Below are 16830 nucleotides of genomic sequence, written 5' to 3'. Positions count from 1 at the left end.
CATATATGAAAATATCTTCATTATACACTCACATTTTATTGTTTTAATTTTAAAGAGAATGTCCTCTGGCCTTTTCTCATGTTGTTCTTTTTGCTGTTCCTCTTAGGGTATATGTTTTTCCTGTTGGACTGATCCTCATGTCTTTTTTTTTTTCTTCTCTGTTTCTTGTCTCTTTCTCTTTCTGTACTACTTTCTGTAAGACTTTATCTTCTAAAATTCATGTTGAATATTTAATTGCTATTCATTTTAATTTATAAGAGTTCTTGTTCCCTTATTTTTTTTTCCTCATAGCATTCTGTTTTTGTTTTGTGGATGTAATACTTCTTGAATCTCTCTAAGGATACCAATTAGATTTTTTTTTTAAAGTTCTTCTCTGTTTCCTATAATATTGCTGCTTCTTCCCCAGTTTTTTTTTGGTTCATTCTTTTTAACCTAATTTTCATTTTTGTGGATTTTTACATTTTTAATTTGTTTACTTTTATTTTACTGGGGTCTGGTATACAAGAGAAAATAAACATATGTGGTCAACTCATTATCTATAACTGGCTATTCTTCCCTCTTTCCGCATAGATAATCTCAGTGGAGCATTAGCCATGATAAAGCACACTCAGTTTTTCCTCCTGCTCTAGGTGTTTTGAGGGAAATTAACTACTATTTCAGGATTTAACAAGAGATGGTCAAACCAACTAGGCTTCATATACACTTGGGAGTAATTTAGTAAATACTGTACTACTTTTAAGTCTAAGCTATTCAGTTCAGGAAATGTGAGTTTATTCAGGGAGAGAAGACCAATATGAAGGATTATTCTGCCCCTACGATAAAATCAAAGCTCTCTGACTTTATTCATTCCAGATCCTTCCCAGTCTAGTCTTCAGTTACTCATCCTGCCACTCTTCCTGGCTGCCCTTTGTCTACCCTAGCCTGCACTGTGTTCCATGCTGCCATGCCTTTGCCCATGCTGGATCCTCTGCCTGGAATGTTCCCTTCCTCTCACACCCTCTTGAGTTCATGAAGACAGTGACCATATTTTAATTTCTATATCTATTGTTTTTGTATTATCTGTGCCAGTTACCTTTTAGGCATTCAAAAAGTTTAAATAAATCTTACTCATCCTTTTAGACTAGAGCAAGTTCAAATATTATCCCCTCTGAGACGCAGCCCTTTACCTCTCTCAGAGTTCATTGTTTTCTTACCTGTTTCTTTAGTTAGTTGTGGACATATCTATTTGTCTTGCTAAGTTCCTTGAGTGCAGGGACCATTTCTTATCAATCTGGAGACCCCCAGGGTCTTGCATTGTGCTTGGCACCTGTTGGCACTCAAGAACAATTTATGTATATATGGGAGAGATGGAGGGAAGGACTGGTTGTAGATTTTCATTAAAAGCATATTTATAAAAATAGTAGCTTTATAGATTCACATCATAAATGTTGTATTTTCTGTTCCTTTTAAATAGATCAAAGCATTCTCAAGAATAGATTGCTGTATTTAGTAATTCCTCCTCCCTTGCCCTCCTTTGTAAGGTCTTGGCTCACCACAACCCTTATCTCCTCTCAGGCCCTGTCTTCTTCCAAGTCTTTTGTCTTCAGTGGTGTCTGCATGAAGTGGAATCATTTTCCCAAGCCTGCCAAATCAAGAATAAACTCATCTAAGAAGGGTGGAGAAGCCTATCTGAAGGGATGGTTACCCATATTGTGAAAAAACTGTAAATGCTTTCAATTAAATGATGATATAATATATCACTATTATTTCACTCTATGTAGTATGTGTATACACACACACACACACACAGACACACATAATACCCTCTCCAGTTTACAACTAAAGAAGGCTGTTTGTATTGTTTCTGTTTTTGGAGGGTGGGGGAAGTGGGTGGGTCTTCTGTGGAAAGGAAGGGCCAAACTAAAATAATGATTACATTTAAGTTCTGGATGTTATTTGCTTAATTGAAATGCTTGAAAAGAAAGGAAGGACAGTTGATATCCTGAGCATAAAAAGTATTGACGACTGATTTTCAAAAATGTGGGAAGTAGTGAGAATACCCTAAGCTGGCCAAACACAACTAGCCTACCTAAACCCTGCATTATGAGTGTGTGGTAGGCTGCTGCTCTGTGACAGAGCCCCAAAATGCAGCTCTGTGGCTGCGTTTCAAAATCAGCAAGAATTTCAAAATTAGCAAGAAGGTCCTGTTGTGTGAGCATCTTGATCAGCCTCTACAAAGCTCTAGTATTAAGAGAGTCTAGTTACTATTCCTCACCAAGGGGAGGGTTCCATGGTGCTGTGTGTGTCCATGAGGAAGTGTTTAGCCTCCTTTCTGTGCCTTCCTGAGATGCCCTCCTAGGTTGGGCAAATCCTAGTTAGGGTCAAGAAGGCAAATTTTTAGCTTCTGGCCAAAAGACTGAAAAGGCTAAGATGCTGGACAGAGCTCAGAATAAATTACTTTTGGGCTCTCTCTTGCTCTGTAATATTGGTATACCTTCACTGGGATGAAAAATTAGGACTTAAATATGTCTCATGGGAATCCACTGAGTTTCTGCAGGATTTGTTGGTTGGTTGGTTAAGTATGCTTTCTTTCCTAACTTCTTTTTGGAGTACAGTGACCTAAGTTAGCACTTGCATTCAAGATATTCACTTCTAAAACAATGTTGTTTTATATTCCTTACAGGGCGACATTTCTGTTCAAGAGTCTATGTTTTGGAGGGAATCAGAAATATCTGGATTGCTTGACATTATTTATGTCCTCATTGAATCTCAACTAATGTGTTGCCTCATGTGCCCTTTTTTCCCTTTTTTTTTTTTTTAACAGATACTAATTTTGTGTTGGGGAATGCTCAGATAGTGGACTGGCCTATTGTGTACAGCAATGATGGATTTTGCAAGCTGTCTGGCTATCACAGGGCAGAAGTGATGCAAAAAAGCAGCACCTGCAGGTATTTATGTTTGGAGTTGTTCTGGTGAACAATCTATTATGGTATCTTTTGGAAAAAGAAAATGGTTTACTGCATTCGGGAATTGCCTTTACCTCATTTAGTGTGTATTCACAGGAAAATTTATTGCCATATCATCTCTAGTTCATGTACTGTACAGGGAAAATCAAAGCAGATGTAAAACATAGTTCCCACAACTGACAAACTTGCAGTCACTAAGATGGGAGAAAACCCAGAAGAACTCAGGAAAACCATTCTGTCTATAAAATGTGAACTCAAAAGTTACGGCATTTTAGATTAAATTAAATGTGAAAGTTAGAGGCTCAAATACAGTGAAATGAAATTTTAGATGATTAAAACCATTTTTGAAAATTTATGAGCATTTTAGAAGGGTAACTACAATGTTGGAGACAAGGGCCTTGTTCATAGAGCTTTTCCTCAGTCAAAATTCTTTTTTGTTTTGAGATGGCGTCTTGCTTTGTCACCCAGACTGGAGTACAGTGACATGATCTTGGCTCACTGCAGCCTCTGTCTCCTGGGTTCAAGCAGTTCTCCTGATTCAGCCTCCTGAGTAGCTGGGATTACAGGCACGTGCCACCACACCTGGCTAATTTTTTTTTTTTTTTGTATTTTTAGTAGAGATGGGGGTTTCACCATGTTGGCCAGGCTGGTCTCGAACTCCTGACCTTAGGTGGTCTGCCCGCCTTGGCCTCCCAAAGTGCTGGATTATAGGCGTGAGCCACCATGCCTGGCCTCAGCCAAAGTTTTTTACTTCAGAAAAAGATGAGAGAACCAATATTTTGTTGCCTTCTAATTCATGCTGTTACCTCTCTCTCTCTCTGAACTCTTAGCAAATTGTACTGACAGTGAAGCTGGTATATTTTTACAGGGTTTCTAACCAAGCAGTGTCCTTGGGCCGTGGTGTTAGAAAAGCTCTTTTAAAGCATCTTCCAGGTGTTGAGCCAGACATATAGCCTGGATCCTGCCAGACATTCCCCTGCTGTGCCCTGGCAAGGTCTTGGCCCACCATAGCCTTTTGGCTCCTCTCAGTCTCTGCCTTCTTCAGTCTTCTGTCTTCAGTGGTGTTTGCATGAAGTGGAATCATTCATGCCAAATCAGGAAACAAACTCATCTATGAAGAGTGGAGAAGCCTGTCTGACCAAGCATAGTCTTCTGTTTTCAGAAGTTGCATTTTTACTTACTAAGTCAGCCATGTCACTTTACATTATTTTAAAATAAAATACTCTTCTAAAATAAAATAAATGTTTGAGCTCATAAGAAGGAAGTATCAAATGTTTTGAAAATATTTCCACTTTCTTAAATCTTAGATTTTGGGGACTGAGAAATAGAAAATTGAAGATTCTTCCCTCAAATGTTCAAAGGTTTAGACATTATAATTCTTAATGTAATAGAATTATCTTACATTCTTTGTGTGCTGTTATCCTCTTAGGTATTTATAGATCTATTTGTCTGCATCTACATCTCTATCTGTCCTGCACATATATAATCAGAACAATTTGAGAGACATAGCTTCACTTTTTAGTGTGACTTGAACAGCCTTTCCTTACCTTTCTTATTGGCTATAATCAAACACTTTAAGGAAATCAGATAAAATAACTTGCTAATTTAACCAACTTTTCTTTTATGCACAGTTTTTAGCAACTTATTGAATTACCCGAAGGTATCCCTTCTCTATAAATGAACATACCTTTGTGCTAGCTATGTTCCTGATAGCTCAGGAGTCTCTTTTATTTATTTTGTGCGTTGTAAGCATTTGCAATCTGAGATCCAGGTAAAGGAAATTTAGAACTACTGGTAATCTACAGCCTGAAAAAGTACATAAGATGAATGAAAACTAGGTATAATTATAGTACTTCATTTATTTGAAGATTCAACTTTACAGGGATTTCTTTTACCTTGTTAAGGAAATTGCTTGCATATATACCATCACTTCATTTAAATGGAGGTCAGTTATCTAGAAAATTAACTCACAAGGAGAAAGAGGAAAAATCCTCTTATTCTCAGGCAGGGCTAAATTAGTCTTGATCTATTCTTCTTTCTAGAGATAATTTAACAAGCTCAGTTTTCCGTTTCCTGGCTTATAGACAAAGAGTACAGCCCCAAAGCAGAGAACTACATGAGTGCGTAAGGACAACCACAGATAATCACATTCCTCAGAGGGCTGGGAAGGGACATAAGATAACAACTGTGATACGGAATTCACAAAGTCAACAGCTAGGACTCTCTTCTTATTGGGTACCAGAATTTGGAAGCCTGTAGTAAGCCCAAGGCTGTTCTGGTATCAAGCTAAGCATGGTGCTTGACTTGGTGGTTCAGTTTTAGATCAGAAATTGCACTTGATAACCCCTGAGGTTCTTTGTAGCTCTGAAATTCTGTGTTTTTGTGATTCAAGTCATAAAAAAAGGTTAGATTATATTTACTTTACAGTGACATTTAGGAACCCATGGCAGTTTGTGCAATACCTAAGACTTGAGGAGTGATCATTGCTGCTCTTTCTTGTTATTGCAGTCTGAAGGCCTGGAGTGGGCAGGGGAAATGCTGGCTGGGCCCGTGGGCAGCCTTTGTCAGAGAACTGGACATTCCAGCCCCATTGAAAGATGTTTTTTTCCCCCTCCTCTGGCATTTTGTTAGTCTCCTGTGCCATTATTCATTCTACTTAATTGGAAGTATATCCTGTTCCCAGAGGGACAAACCATGATTTTTAGACCAGATTCAGTGTGGGGCCCAGGAAAATAAACAGTCCTGGCATTTTTCTTGCTTCTGGTGAGAACTAGTGTTAGCAGGTAGACCTTCTAGTATCCTGAGGTTTTCTCTAATAAATTACATGTACATTTAAATAAATGAATTTTTTTTTTGCTGAGAACTAGAAAAGGAAAAAAATCTATGGTCTAAACTTACTCAGCCATCTTTACCAGGAAGTCTCCCAGAGTTGTATTTCTAAAATGAAATCTGATTATGTTTCTCCTTTGCTTAAAACCCTCCCATTGTGCTCCCATTGCTTTCAAGATGAAGATTAAATTACTTCCCATGGCTTATAATGCCGTGGTCTCCTCCATGATCTTGCCTCTGTTTACTTCTCTATATTATCTGTTGCAAATTTCCCTCTCATTGTCTATATTTCAATCATACTGAAATGAACTATAATCAGGGTCTGGAATTAATCTGACTGTCACCTCTGTGCCTTTGCAGTTGCTTGTCTTTTGTTTGGAATGTTTTTCTCCTTCTTTCTCTCAGCCATTTCCCCTCCTTCCTGCCCCTTAGACCTAATCTGTCCTTACTTCTGGAAAGCATTCTCTGATCAACCAGGGAGTGCACTGTGCCTATTCTGTGTGTTCTGTAATTCATTATGTGCGCTGCCATTGTGGCAGTGATCACACTGTTCTCTAATCCACTGTTTTCTGATCTGTTTTATGGTGTGTATCTCTCATTAGACTGTTAGTTTTTTGGAGACAATGAAAAAGTCTTATTCACAGTTGAATCAGTAAATTTTTTTGAGTCAGTGATTGTTTTCATTGTGTGTGTGTGTGTTCCACAGTACATAGCACAGTGCTGAATATAGAACAGATATTTAACATATGCTTGTAGAATAATGAATACTTCTTAATCTAACTTGAGTTCTTTGGTTGTTTGCAGTTTTATGTATGGGGAGCTGACTGATAAAGACACGATTGAAAAAGTGCGGCAAACATTTGAGAACTATGAGATGAATTCCTTTGAAATTCTGATGTACAAGAAGAACAGTGAGTATTGAGACCATTCTGAACCATACCTTTATGTGTTTGAAATAGTAAAATATCTCCTCTTCCTCTGTTGCTGTCTTGGTTTTTCTTCTCTCCCACCAGCTAAATGCTGTTACTTGAAGCCCTTGTGTATGTTGGGATGGATGATATAGATTGATCACTTACACTGTTTCTCACAGGAACATTTGATGAGGTTCTTGTCACTAACTAATTAAGCCTTCTTCATCTATATTGTTGTTGCTGAGACTTAGTGTTTTTTCCTATTGGTTTACATATGGTGAGTTGCTAGCTTAAGGCCCTTGTAGACTTTTTAACAAGGGAGGGAGAAGATGAGACAGAAATTCTGTCCAGTTCATCTTTGTATCTATCTTCCACAGCACTTAGCACAAGTAACACAGTGGGTGCCTAATTAAGCGTTTCTAAATAAAAGTTTGTCCCCAGTATTAACAACAATGCATTGTTAATTTGTATTTGTTTTTGGCTACAATTACTTCCACAAAGTATGTTAATGAGGTTTTAGGTCAGTAGCCATACAGAAGTATAAAACTTGCTCTTCCCTTAGGAGGTTTCCTGTTGGAGATTAGCTGTATTAGAAGTATGGAAAGTAGGGCATATGGGCCTAGCAAGGCTGCATGGGTGTTAATAGTGGTTTGTTTCTGTTTTTTAAAAACACTAGTTTTGTAAGAAGTCCTGTTCTTTATACGTAGGATTGACTGGTAGGAAATTGATTCAATTGAACAACTCCGGGGTGGTCCTTATGGCACATGAGGATAACCGTTTAATTTGGTGGCATTCAGGTTTGAGTGATATGTTTTGCCCTGGAAAGTAAAGGGCATGCGTTGTTTTTATCTGGGAGGGGCTGGGATTTTTTTTCAGGTCTGCGGTATTGGAGTAGGTGACTGAGATTACTGTTCGCTTGGTGGTCTGTGCCGATACTGGTCTGAGAGATTTGCACTGGCCATCCACAAGCCCAAGAGGGTTGTTACCAAAGCTTTCACACTGGATTTGTTGCCTTGCTCCAGTTCACTCCCTCTGCCAGCAGATCTAGTTCCCACCCCACTATTAGCTAGGAGAGGAACGAAGGGAAAGACTGTGAAGGGCTGTATGCCAGTCTTTCCACTATAGGGGAACACAACTCAACTCAAAGCAACAGCTCGTACCAGAAGCATACCAACCGTGGCTTTCTCATGGGAAAGACATGGTCTGCACATGTGTCATAAACTAATGGAATAAGTTAAAAGTTTTCCACGTTGGCAGCACTAATAATTCACTTGCCATTGGTTTCAGTGAACATATGCCCCAGAGTGAGTTTGAGATGCGAGAGGGCAATCTGCCTTTTCCTAGCTGTCTCTGGGGCTGAAGATCCTGTATTATGAGGATCTTACTATGCTGAAAGTGATTGATTCTGATATTTGAAGATCTGTACTTTAGGTAGACATGAACTACCCAGGTAAACCAACTAGATCAAATGATGGGCTACCAAAGAATCAGCATTTCTTCCCTCCCTGAAGGTTGTGGTAGGCTTATTGAGAGTCTCCAAAGTGGCATGTCAGCCTGGGCATCAGGTTCTACTTTATGGGTGATACTAAAGCATTTTCAAGAGTAATTATGGTCATATACAATTTTTACTCTAGCTTTTACCTTTAGAAAATAAGCTTTGTGTAAGGCATGACTGTATTTTAAAATGTGAATCTCTAATCTCTGTGAAATAGGCACAGCTGAAAGTTAATTCCTCATCTGAGGTCATGTAGCACCAGGATTAGTTTCCAGTGTTTGCTCCACGGCCATTCTCAGTTTTATTGTGAGTACAAGGCAGGGCTACCACATGAAGTCGTGCAGGCTATACCCTGCTTAGGGGGAAGTGGAAACCAGCTTGTGATTTGCTTGCTGAGTCCTCCATGGACCATGGTCTGGAATTGCATCTGTGCTGAGGAAGGAGTTTCTCTTTCTAATTCACACAAAGATGACTAGTGGGCCAGTGGGGGCTCTGGACAAGGCTAAATTTGTACATACAACATGAGCCATGAAACTAAGGAAATGATGCAGATAATGTTGTTTTCTTCCTAGGACCTGCTTACTACCTCCAAATCCCACCCTCTCTTGAGGAATTAAGAAACTTGAACTTATTTGTTAAGCCTGGAAATTATACAGTTGCACTGGATTCTGTGTGTGTGTGTGTATGGTTTTTTTGTCTTTCCAATAGCTTTTTATTGACCCACTACCCTATGGCAAACAGTAGGCTTGCTGCTAGGGATGCAAGTATGAAGAGATAGACACAGTGTCTGCTCTTACAGCATCTGTAGGGGAACGGGCAGCATCCACGGAACAGAGCCATAAGGGCTTTGATGGTGACACCACATAGGTGGCTCATGACTCCAACCTAGGGGGTCAGGGAAGGAAATCTTCCTAACAGGCATAAGTGCCATGCAGAAACTGGAAGGATAGAGGGGAGTTAGACAAAGATCAGGGCCAAGAGTATCCCAGGCTGAATGCATATGAAAAGGGCTGCAGCGGAGAGAGAGCATTGAGAGTTCAAGAGACACAAACCAATGCTTCTTAAACTTTGACATGCATAAGAACTCACCAGTGAATGGAAATGTGTATTTCTATGTAGAGGGTCTAGCAAAGGATCTGAGGTTCTGCTTCCAGGTGATGCTGATGCTGCTAGTCCACAGATCACACTCTGAGTAGCAAGGACAGAAAGCAGCTGTAGTGAAGACTGACTTCCGTGCCAACAGGGTGCGTCTCTTTCAGAGCTCTACCCCTTGCACCCAGCCCAGTGCCTGACACATAGAAAGTGCTCCACCCAAACTCATGGAGTAAATAAATATATAAATACATGAGGGGCCGGGTGCAGTGGCTCATGCCTGTAATCCCGGCACTTTGGGAGGCCGAGGTGGGTGGATCATTTGATGTCAGGAGTTTGAGACCAGCCTGGCCAACATGGTGAAACCCCCATCTACTAAAAATACAAAAATTAGCTGGGTGTGGTGGCGGGTGCCTGTAATCCCAGCTACTCGGGAGGGTGAGGCAGGAGAATTGTCGAACTCCAGAGGCAGAGGTTGCAACGAGCTGAGATTGTGCCACTGCTCTTCAGCCTGGGTGACAGAGAGAGACTCACTCTGTCTCCCAAAATGTGTGTGTGTGTATAAATACATGAGAAGTAATATGAGGTTGGAGAGACTAGGAAGGGCCAGTCACACGGCCAAGTTAAATAGTTTAGAATCTGTCTTAAAAGCGGTAGTGGTGGAGAAGGCGGTGGAGGTGAGGGGTGTTGAGGGATTTTAAGCAGGGTAAGTATGTCATCAGATTTCATTTTAGAAAGAGGGCTCTAAGCCCAGAGGTAGTGGCTCACGCCCGTAATCCCAGCTACTTGGAGGCTGAGGGAGGAGGATCGTTTGAGCCCAGGAGTTTGAATCTGACCTGAGAAACATAGCAAAATCCTTCTAAAAAAGAAATGAAAAGAAATATGGCTCCAGCTAGAGCGTGGAGATGGAATAGAGCTTAGTGAGCAGGAGGTAGAGGGGCTGTTAGGAATCCCTCTGACAACAAAATGATAGTGGCCTGGTCAGGGGAAGAGGCATTCAAACTGACAGGTGTCCAGGGGGCTATGGAGGAGATGGAGCGCAGGGCCTTTGTCAGTGGTGTCCAGTGATGGGCTCCTCCCTTAGTTTGGGAGCCCCAGGCAGAGCCCAGGAAGTAGGAAGCCCTGCGTTCCAGTCAGGAACTCATCATTTAACCTGAAGTAAAACTTGCTAGTGTCTGGCTGGGAGCTGACATTGAGGAGTGAGGAGGTGAATGTTTGCTGAGTGATTTTGAAAGGAACCTGATATTTACCAAGAAACAGGAGAGAAACAACATGTGATGCAAAGTGAGGGCGTCAGAGCCAGGGAGTGAGCAGGAGGAGAGGAGTCCACTGGGAACGGAAATGGGGCGGAGGGGAGGAAGGAGGGTTCATGTTTCTTTTCACATCTGTGGAGGTAGAGTTTGCTTCTACTTTCAAACTTCGCTGTTCAATAGAGTAAAACATTCAGCATTTTAAAGCAATATAGAGTTCTATGAGGGAAAAGTTCTTGTTGAGATTTTAAAAAGTGAAATATCACTATCTTGAAGTATATTTTTTATCTGATTTTTAAATTAATGCATTTTTACCATGATGAATGCATGCAAAAAATATAAAGAAAAAAAAACACCCAACAGACTCAGAGAAGTACTATTATACTATTAACTCTTTGATGTGTTTCCTTTTTGTTTTTGTCTGTGTACATTTTACATAATGGAGATTTCGACTTGTATACAATTTAAAAATCATATGTTTATTTAGTCTTTGTCACAAAAATATCCCCATTATTAAAATTCCTCATAAATATAATTTAGAAAGAATTTTATTAATGTTTCCTCTATTATTAGATATTTATGAGGCTCAATTTTCATTATTAAAAAGAATGCTGAGGTAAAAATTGTTATACAAATATATTTTGTTGACATTATGAAATATTTCCTAGAAGTTGAGAATTGCTGTGTCAAGGAATGTGAACTAAGGTTTCTGAGACATTTTGCCAAATAGCTTTCCAGAAGAACTGAACTCATTTCCAAGTCCTCATACAGAATGTGAGTGTCTAACTCATTATGCCTCACCAGCATTGAATAGTATAACTTTTAAATTGTCAAATTGCCCACAATTGTTTTTGTTTAATGAGCTTTTTAATGCTAGTGAGATTGAAGTGTTTTTTTCCTATTTATTATCCATTTAAAATTACCCTTTTAAATGTTAATTGTTCAGATTCTTTGCCTATATATCCTATTTAATTATAGGCATTTTCCCACTCATTTTTACAAGCTTTTAATACATTGTTTTAGTTCTTTTTTTCCCAGTCTCATTCTGTAGGGTTTGTAAGGACAACTTTGTAGAAAGGATCTTCTATTGATAAGCATTAATATTTGTCCTATCTTTTGGGGAGTTGAGAGTAATTAGCAGAAGGCTTCATGGTATGGTTTGGAATGAGTGTTTGGGATACCATTACATATGTTGAAGGACGGATTATTTGAAAGATTTCTATCTATTGGCCATTCGGAAAACCTGACATTTCTGGAGTGCTGTATATTTCGTATTGTTACTTGCCTAATGTTTAGTATGCTGTATGATTTTCTTTTCTTTCTTTTTTTTTTTTTTTCAAGACAGGGTCTGGCTATGTCGCCCAAGCTGGAGTGCAGTGGCGCGATCTCAGCTCACTGCAACCTCTGCATCCCAGGCTCCAGCCATCCTCCCATCTCAGCCACCCAAGTACCTGGGACTATAGGCACACACCGTCATGCTCAGCTAATTTTTTTTTGTATTTTTGTAGAGTCGGGGTTTCACCATGTTGGCCAGGCTGGTCTTCACCTCCTTAGCTCAAGCCATCCACCCATCTCTACCTCCCAGGTGGAGATTACAGGCATGAGCCACCATGCCTGGCCTGATTTTCTTATATCAACGACAGTTGTCATTAATGAAGTCATTCAGTAAATATTCCTGTGTTCACTCCTGTGCTACTCAATTAATTTTTCAATTTTTCAAACAAGAAAATCAAGAAGTATTAACCCTGAATAAAAGCAGTCAGTACATCCTCTAGACAACACTCCCCAGCATGTGACTCCACAATTTGTGGTGTGGCTGGCGGCCTGGAATCTGGGAGCTCTGGGTTAGTTTCCCAGTCAGAGAAGCCCAGGGAAAGGCATCTGACAGCATTTCTGCTGTGCTAGCAAGGAGAAGCTGCTGGCCAGGTACATATTGATTACCTACTGTAGGCTCAGCACTATGCCAGACCCGGTGGGTCACAGAGATATAGATGTAAGAAACTGACTCTGCCTTTGAGGAGGTTACAGTCTAGTTGTAGAGCCAAATCTAACAGGCAAAGCAATCATATTTTGCTTATTTGCTGAATGGGTTATCTTTTATTTATTCAGTGATAGGAGCTGCTTATATGTAATGAATATTGATTGTAAATCATAGACATATTGAAAAACATTTTTCTCTATTTAAACATTTTTTCTTTTAACTTTTTAAACTTTTTTTTTAAAAACCATTTAGAAGTGAACAAGTTTTATGTCAGCGTTTTCCTTTATGGTTCTGAGTTTTATATAATGCTTAGGAAGTTCTTCTCCTTACCTAAATAATAAAAATACGTTTCCTTTTTTTCCTTTTGGTAACTTTATAGTTGTGCTAAAATATTTAGAATATTAAACCATTTGGAATTTATTTTTATATATTATGTGAAGCAATAATCTAACTTATTTTCCACATTGCTTATTCAGCTGTCCCATTACTATTTATTAAATAATCCAGTTTTTCCTTTCTGATTTGAAATGCCCTTTTCTTTATATGCTAAGGTCTCACACATATGTGGGTTTGTTTCTGTCTTCTTCTCTAGGAACCCTCTTGTAATTTATTAGCTATGTGAGTTCGATTAGGATACTTGCCTACTTGGGTTCCCCACATTTGAAATGGGAATAATAGTAGCTATTCTACATTATAGAGTCATTGTGAGAAGTAAACCACAATGTTTCAGGGTCTGACCCCTTTGTAAGTACTCAATGAATGATATTATTTTTATTGTTTTTCTTTTGAGGCCTGTGCCAGTGACTCTTAATTACTATAGTAGGTAGTCCCTGTTATTATATTCCTTTCTAATAATTTCAAAGATTTATTGGCCATGCTTACACCTTAATTTTTCTGTTTGAATTAAATTTTAATTCATCAGAGTTAGAGGAAAAACAAATACAAAAACAGCTGAGACTGATTGAAATTACATTAGATATATATATTAGAGGGAGCGGTTTGACGTCTTATAAAATGGAATCTTACCTACAAACAATTCAACTCTCCATTTATTTAGGTCTTGTTTTATACTCATCAATGCAATTTTAATTATGTTGAGGGTTAAGTGTTGATTTTTCTAGTTTTGCCCTTGTTATATTTGAGACTGGCCCTCTTCCCTAAAAACAGGCAGAGGCAGTTTCAGGGTTTTGTTAAACAGTTTGAATACTTCCTGTTTTTAAGTCATTCAAACAGCCATGTGAAATGAGGTTGGGCATTTCCATCTTACAGGTGAGAAATTTAAAAGGAAGGAAGAAAGGAAAGTGATAGTTTTGGGGCCAGGCACGGTGGCTCACACCTGTAATCACAGCACTTTGGGAGGCCAAGGCGGGCAGATCACCTGAGGTCAGGAGTTCAAGACTAGTTTGGCCAACATGGCAAAACCCCATCTCTACTAAAAATACAAAAATTAGCCGGGTGCGGTGGTGGGCACCTATAATCCCAGCTACTCAGGAGGCTGAGGCAGGAGAATCGCTTGAGCCTGGGAGGTGGAAGTTGCAGTGAGCTGAGATTGCGCCACTGCACCCCAGCCTAGGCAATAGAGTGAGACTCCATCTCAAAAAATAAATAAATAAATAAATAAATAAATAAAGTGATACTTTTAAACACCTATGTCTCAGACATGTGGGTATTTTTACTTTATTTTAAGTAACTCTGTTATCCCCATTTTACAAATGAAGAGGCTGATGGTGAGAGAAGTTAAACTGATGCGGCCAAGGCTCCGAATAACTGAAGATAAAGGGCTCAAACTCAGGGCTTGGGACTAAGTGTCAGATGTTCTAATGGCCAGTGGCCATTACATCCCTCTGGTGCTGTCTCATCCTCTCTGTACTTGTCATTCATCTCCATAAAGTTGACCCCAGACCAATTGTTCTGTTTCCTGGGGTAGGCTACCATCCTCAAGTCTAGTTTCTGGACCTGTTAGAGGTCAACCCTTCCCAAAAGCCAATCACAGTGGCTTGGTCTGTTCCATTGCTGTCGAATATGGTCTGGATGCCCAGATGCCTGATTACAGAGAGTACTTGGGAGGAAGCCCAGGGTAGAAAAAAGATTGATGGAGGCCAAAAATTCTCTCGTACATCTGAGCCTTGCTGTTTTGTTATCTGGCTGCCAAGGCTGAGGAACCTCAAAGCCAGGTTAGGTTGTCAGGTTCATTACTACATGACCTAAGGGAGCTACATAAGGGATGAAAATCAGAGTGATCTAAAAAGGCTGACCTGGAACTGCCCTCCCATTGGACATCCTCATCCTGGAAAAAGCCTCCCTCCCAGCAGCAGCAGCCTCTGCCATCAGTAGGGTTATCAAGTGCTATGTTGTTCCTGGGTGTGTACATAGATCTTTCTTCAATAAAGGATTTAACATTGACCCGTTGTCCTTTTTGCAGTAGGACATCAAATGCTTACTTTTCTCAGTTTTTCCATAGTAGGCACTTGGGTAAGGAGGCAGAAATTTAACTTCTTCCTGATTTTCTGTGTATGTATATGAATATTTGCATTTATTGCCTCTCTAGCATCTTGATGGAATGGATCCTGCTGCAGAATTTGGGTTCTAGGAGAGACCCTTGTAGGCTACTTGCCCCAAGCTCTGTCTGCAGGAAAGTCAGTGTCTGAATGGAGCCAAAGGATACCTGAATATCCTCGGAGGGTAGAAGGGAAACTGGCTTGGGTGGAGCTTCAGGTTCCAGATGGTTCACGTTCACCTGAAGCAACTGTTTCATATATTGAATCTTTAAGTTATATTTCATTAAATAAAAATCCTTTGCTCTTAAGTGGAAAAGGTTGAAATACTGGTCTGTACCACCTAGGAGGGACTTATGTTCTCTTCTGAAAGAATTCCAGAAACGAAAATTTAAGCCCATTCTACTCACTTTCTTAGACTGTTTGGGTAGTGATAGTTTGGGACTGAAAACACTGGATGTAGGATTTATTTTTTTAAATTTAGCATTCCTAGAGCACCTAACCCACCAAGGCTGCTGTGCAGCACTCCCTGGAGTGGAGCGATGCAATGGCTTCACATGACCCTGTGCATAATACTACATTGAATGCCAGGAAGTAGGGGTGCCCGGTGGTAAGACAGAGAAAGTAGATCAGGTCTCTTGCCCTTGGAGTGTATTATGATCTATTTAAAGAAACAGTCGTTAGCTGTTAAGCTTTGAGGCAGCCAGTACATAACACTTAACTTCCCTGTCCATGATCAGAACCAATCGAGAGAGATAAAGGAATCAGGCCAATATAGCAGGGGTCCCTAGCTCCCAGGCCACAGACTGCTACCAGTCCATGGCCTGTTAGGAACTGGGCCACATAGCAGGAGGTGAGCGACAGCTGAGCGAGCATTACTACCTGAGCTCCACCTCCTGTCAGATCAGCGGTGGCATTAGATTCTCACAGAAGCGTGAACCCTATTGTGAACTGTATACGTGAGGTTGCCTGCTCCTTATGAGAATCTAATGCCTGATGATCTGAGGTGGAGCAGTTTAATCCTGAAATCATCCCCACCCCCAGTCCATGGAAAAATTGTCTTCCATGAAACCTGTCCCTGGTGCCAAAAAGGTTGGGGACTACTGCAATAGAGGATAAGATACTACTTTTATGACTAATAAAGCTGATGCTGGGGGATGTAGTTTATACCTGTAGGCAAGTGACTTTCTAAAAGTGAACCCTAGAATCAGACAGAGTTACCTGCAAGTCACAGGTAGTACTGGAGAACTGCAGGCTTCTCCTCCTACCAGCCATCCTTCCTGCCTTTTGCCTTCCCCCCTTTATAGGGTAGGGGAGCAAAGCAGAGAAGGGGCCAAGCTACACATATCCAGCTCTCGTCTCCCAGATTACCAACCAACCTAGGAAAAAGGTCCAGAGTGTTACACTGAAAGATGTTCTTCCACAGAGAAGCACCAGATCACGAAAAAGGAGGTCATTTCCCTCAAAAAGCCCCCATATTTAGCTCAAGATGAACTCTAAGGCAGTATGTCCTGATTGTATGAATTTTTGTTACAAGATATATATTTAGATACTGCAAAGGAATGGTCAGAGTAGTATGTGTTTAATCAGGGAACATGGCCAGGTGCAGTGGCTCATGCCTGTAATCCCAGCACTTTGGGAGGCTGAGGCAGGAGAATCACCTGAGGTCAGGGGTTTGAGACCAGCCTGGCCAACATAGTGAAACACCATCTCTACCAAAAATACAAAAATTAGCCAGGTGTGGTGGCATGCACCTCTAGTCCCAGCTACCCAGGAGGCTGAGGCAGGGGAATCCCTTGAATCCAGGATGTGGAGGTTGCAGTGAGCCGAGA

The 16830-nt window shown here is 40.3% G+C and overlaps 1 protein-coding gene across 3 annotated transcripts in view; it reads left to right on the top strand.

Moving 5' to 3' along the window:
* The window catches only part of KCNH1 (potassium voltage-gated channel subfamily H member 1), a 455835-nt gene that overhangs the window by 23968 nt on the left and 415037 nt on the right, over positions 1 to 16830 (top strand). For all 3 annotated transcript variants that reach the window (XM_047419823.1, NM_002238.4, NM_172362.3), the window contains exons 2-3: positions 2804 to 2927; positions 6579 to 6685. In XM_047419823.1, coding sequence (XP_047275779.1) covers positions 2804 to 2927; positions 6579 to 6685 — 231 coding nt within the window. The remainder of the gene's footprint in view (positions 1 to 2803; positions 2928 to 6578; positions 6686 to 16830) is intronic.

This window comes from Homo sapiens, chromosome 1 (genome assembly GCF_000001405.40).
Source record: "Homo sapiens chromosome 1, GRCh38.p14 Primary Assembly".
Taxonomy (NCBI): Eukaryota; Metazoa; Chordata; class Mammalia; order Primates; family Hominidae; genus Homo; species Homo sapiens.
The sequence above is the reverse complement of the archived record's forward strand: the minus strand, read 5'-3'. Positions and strand labels throughout refer to the sequence as shown.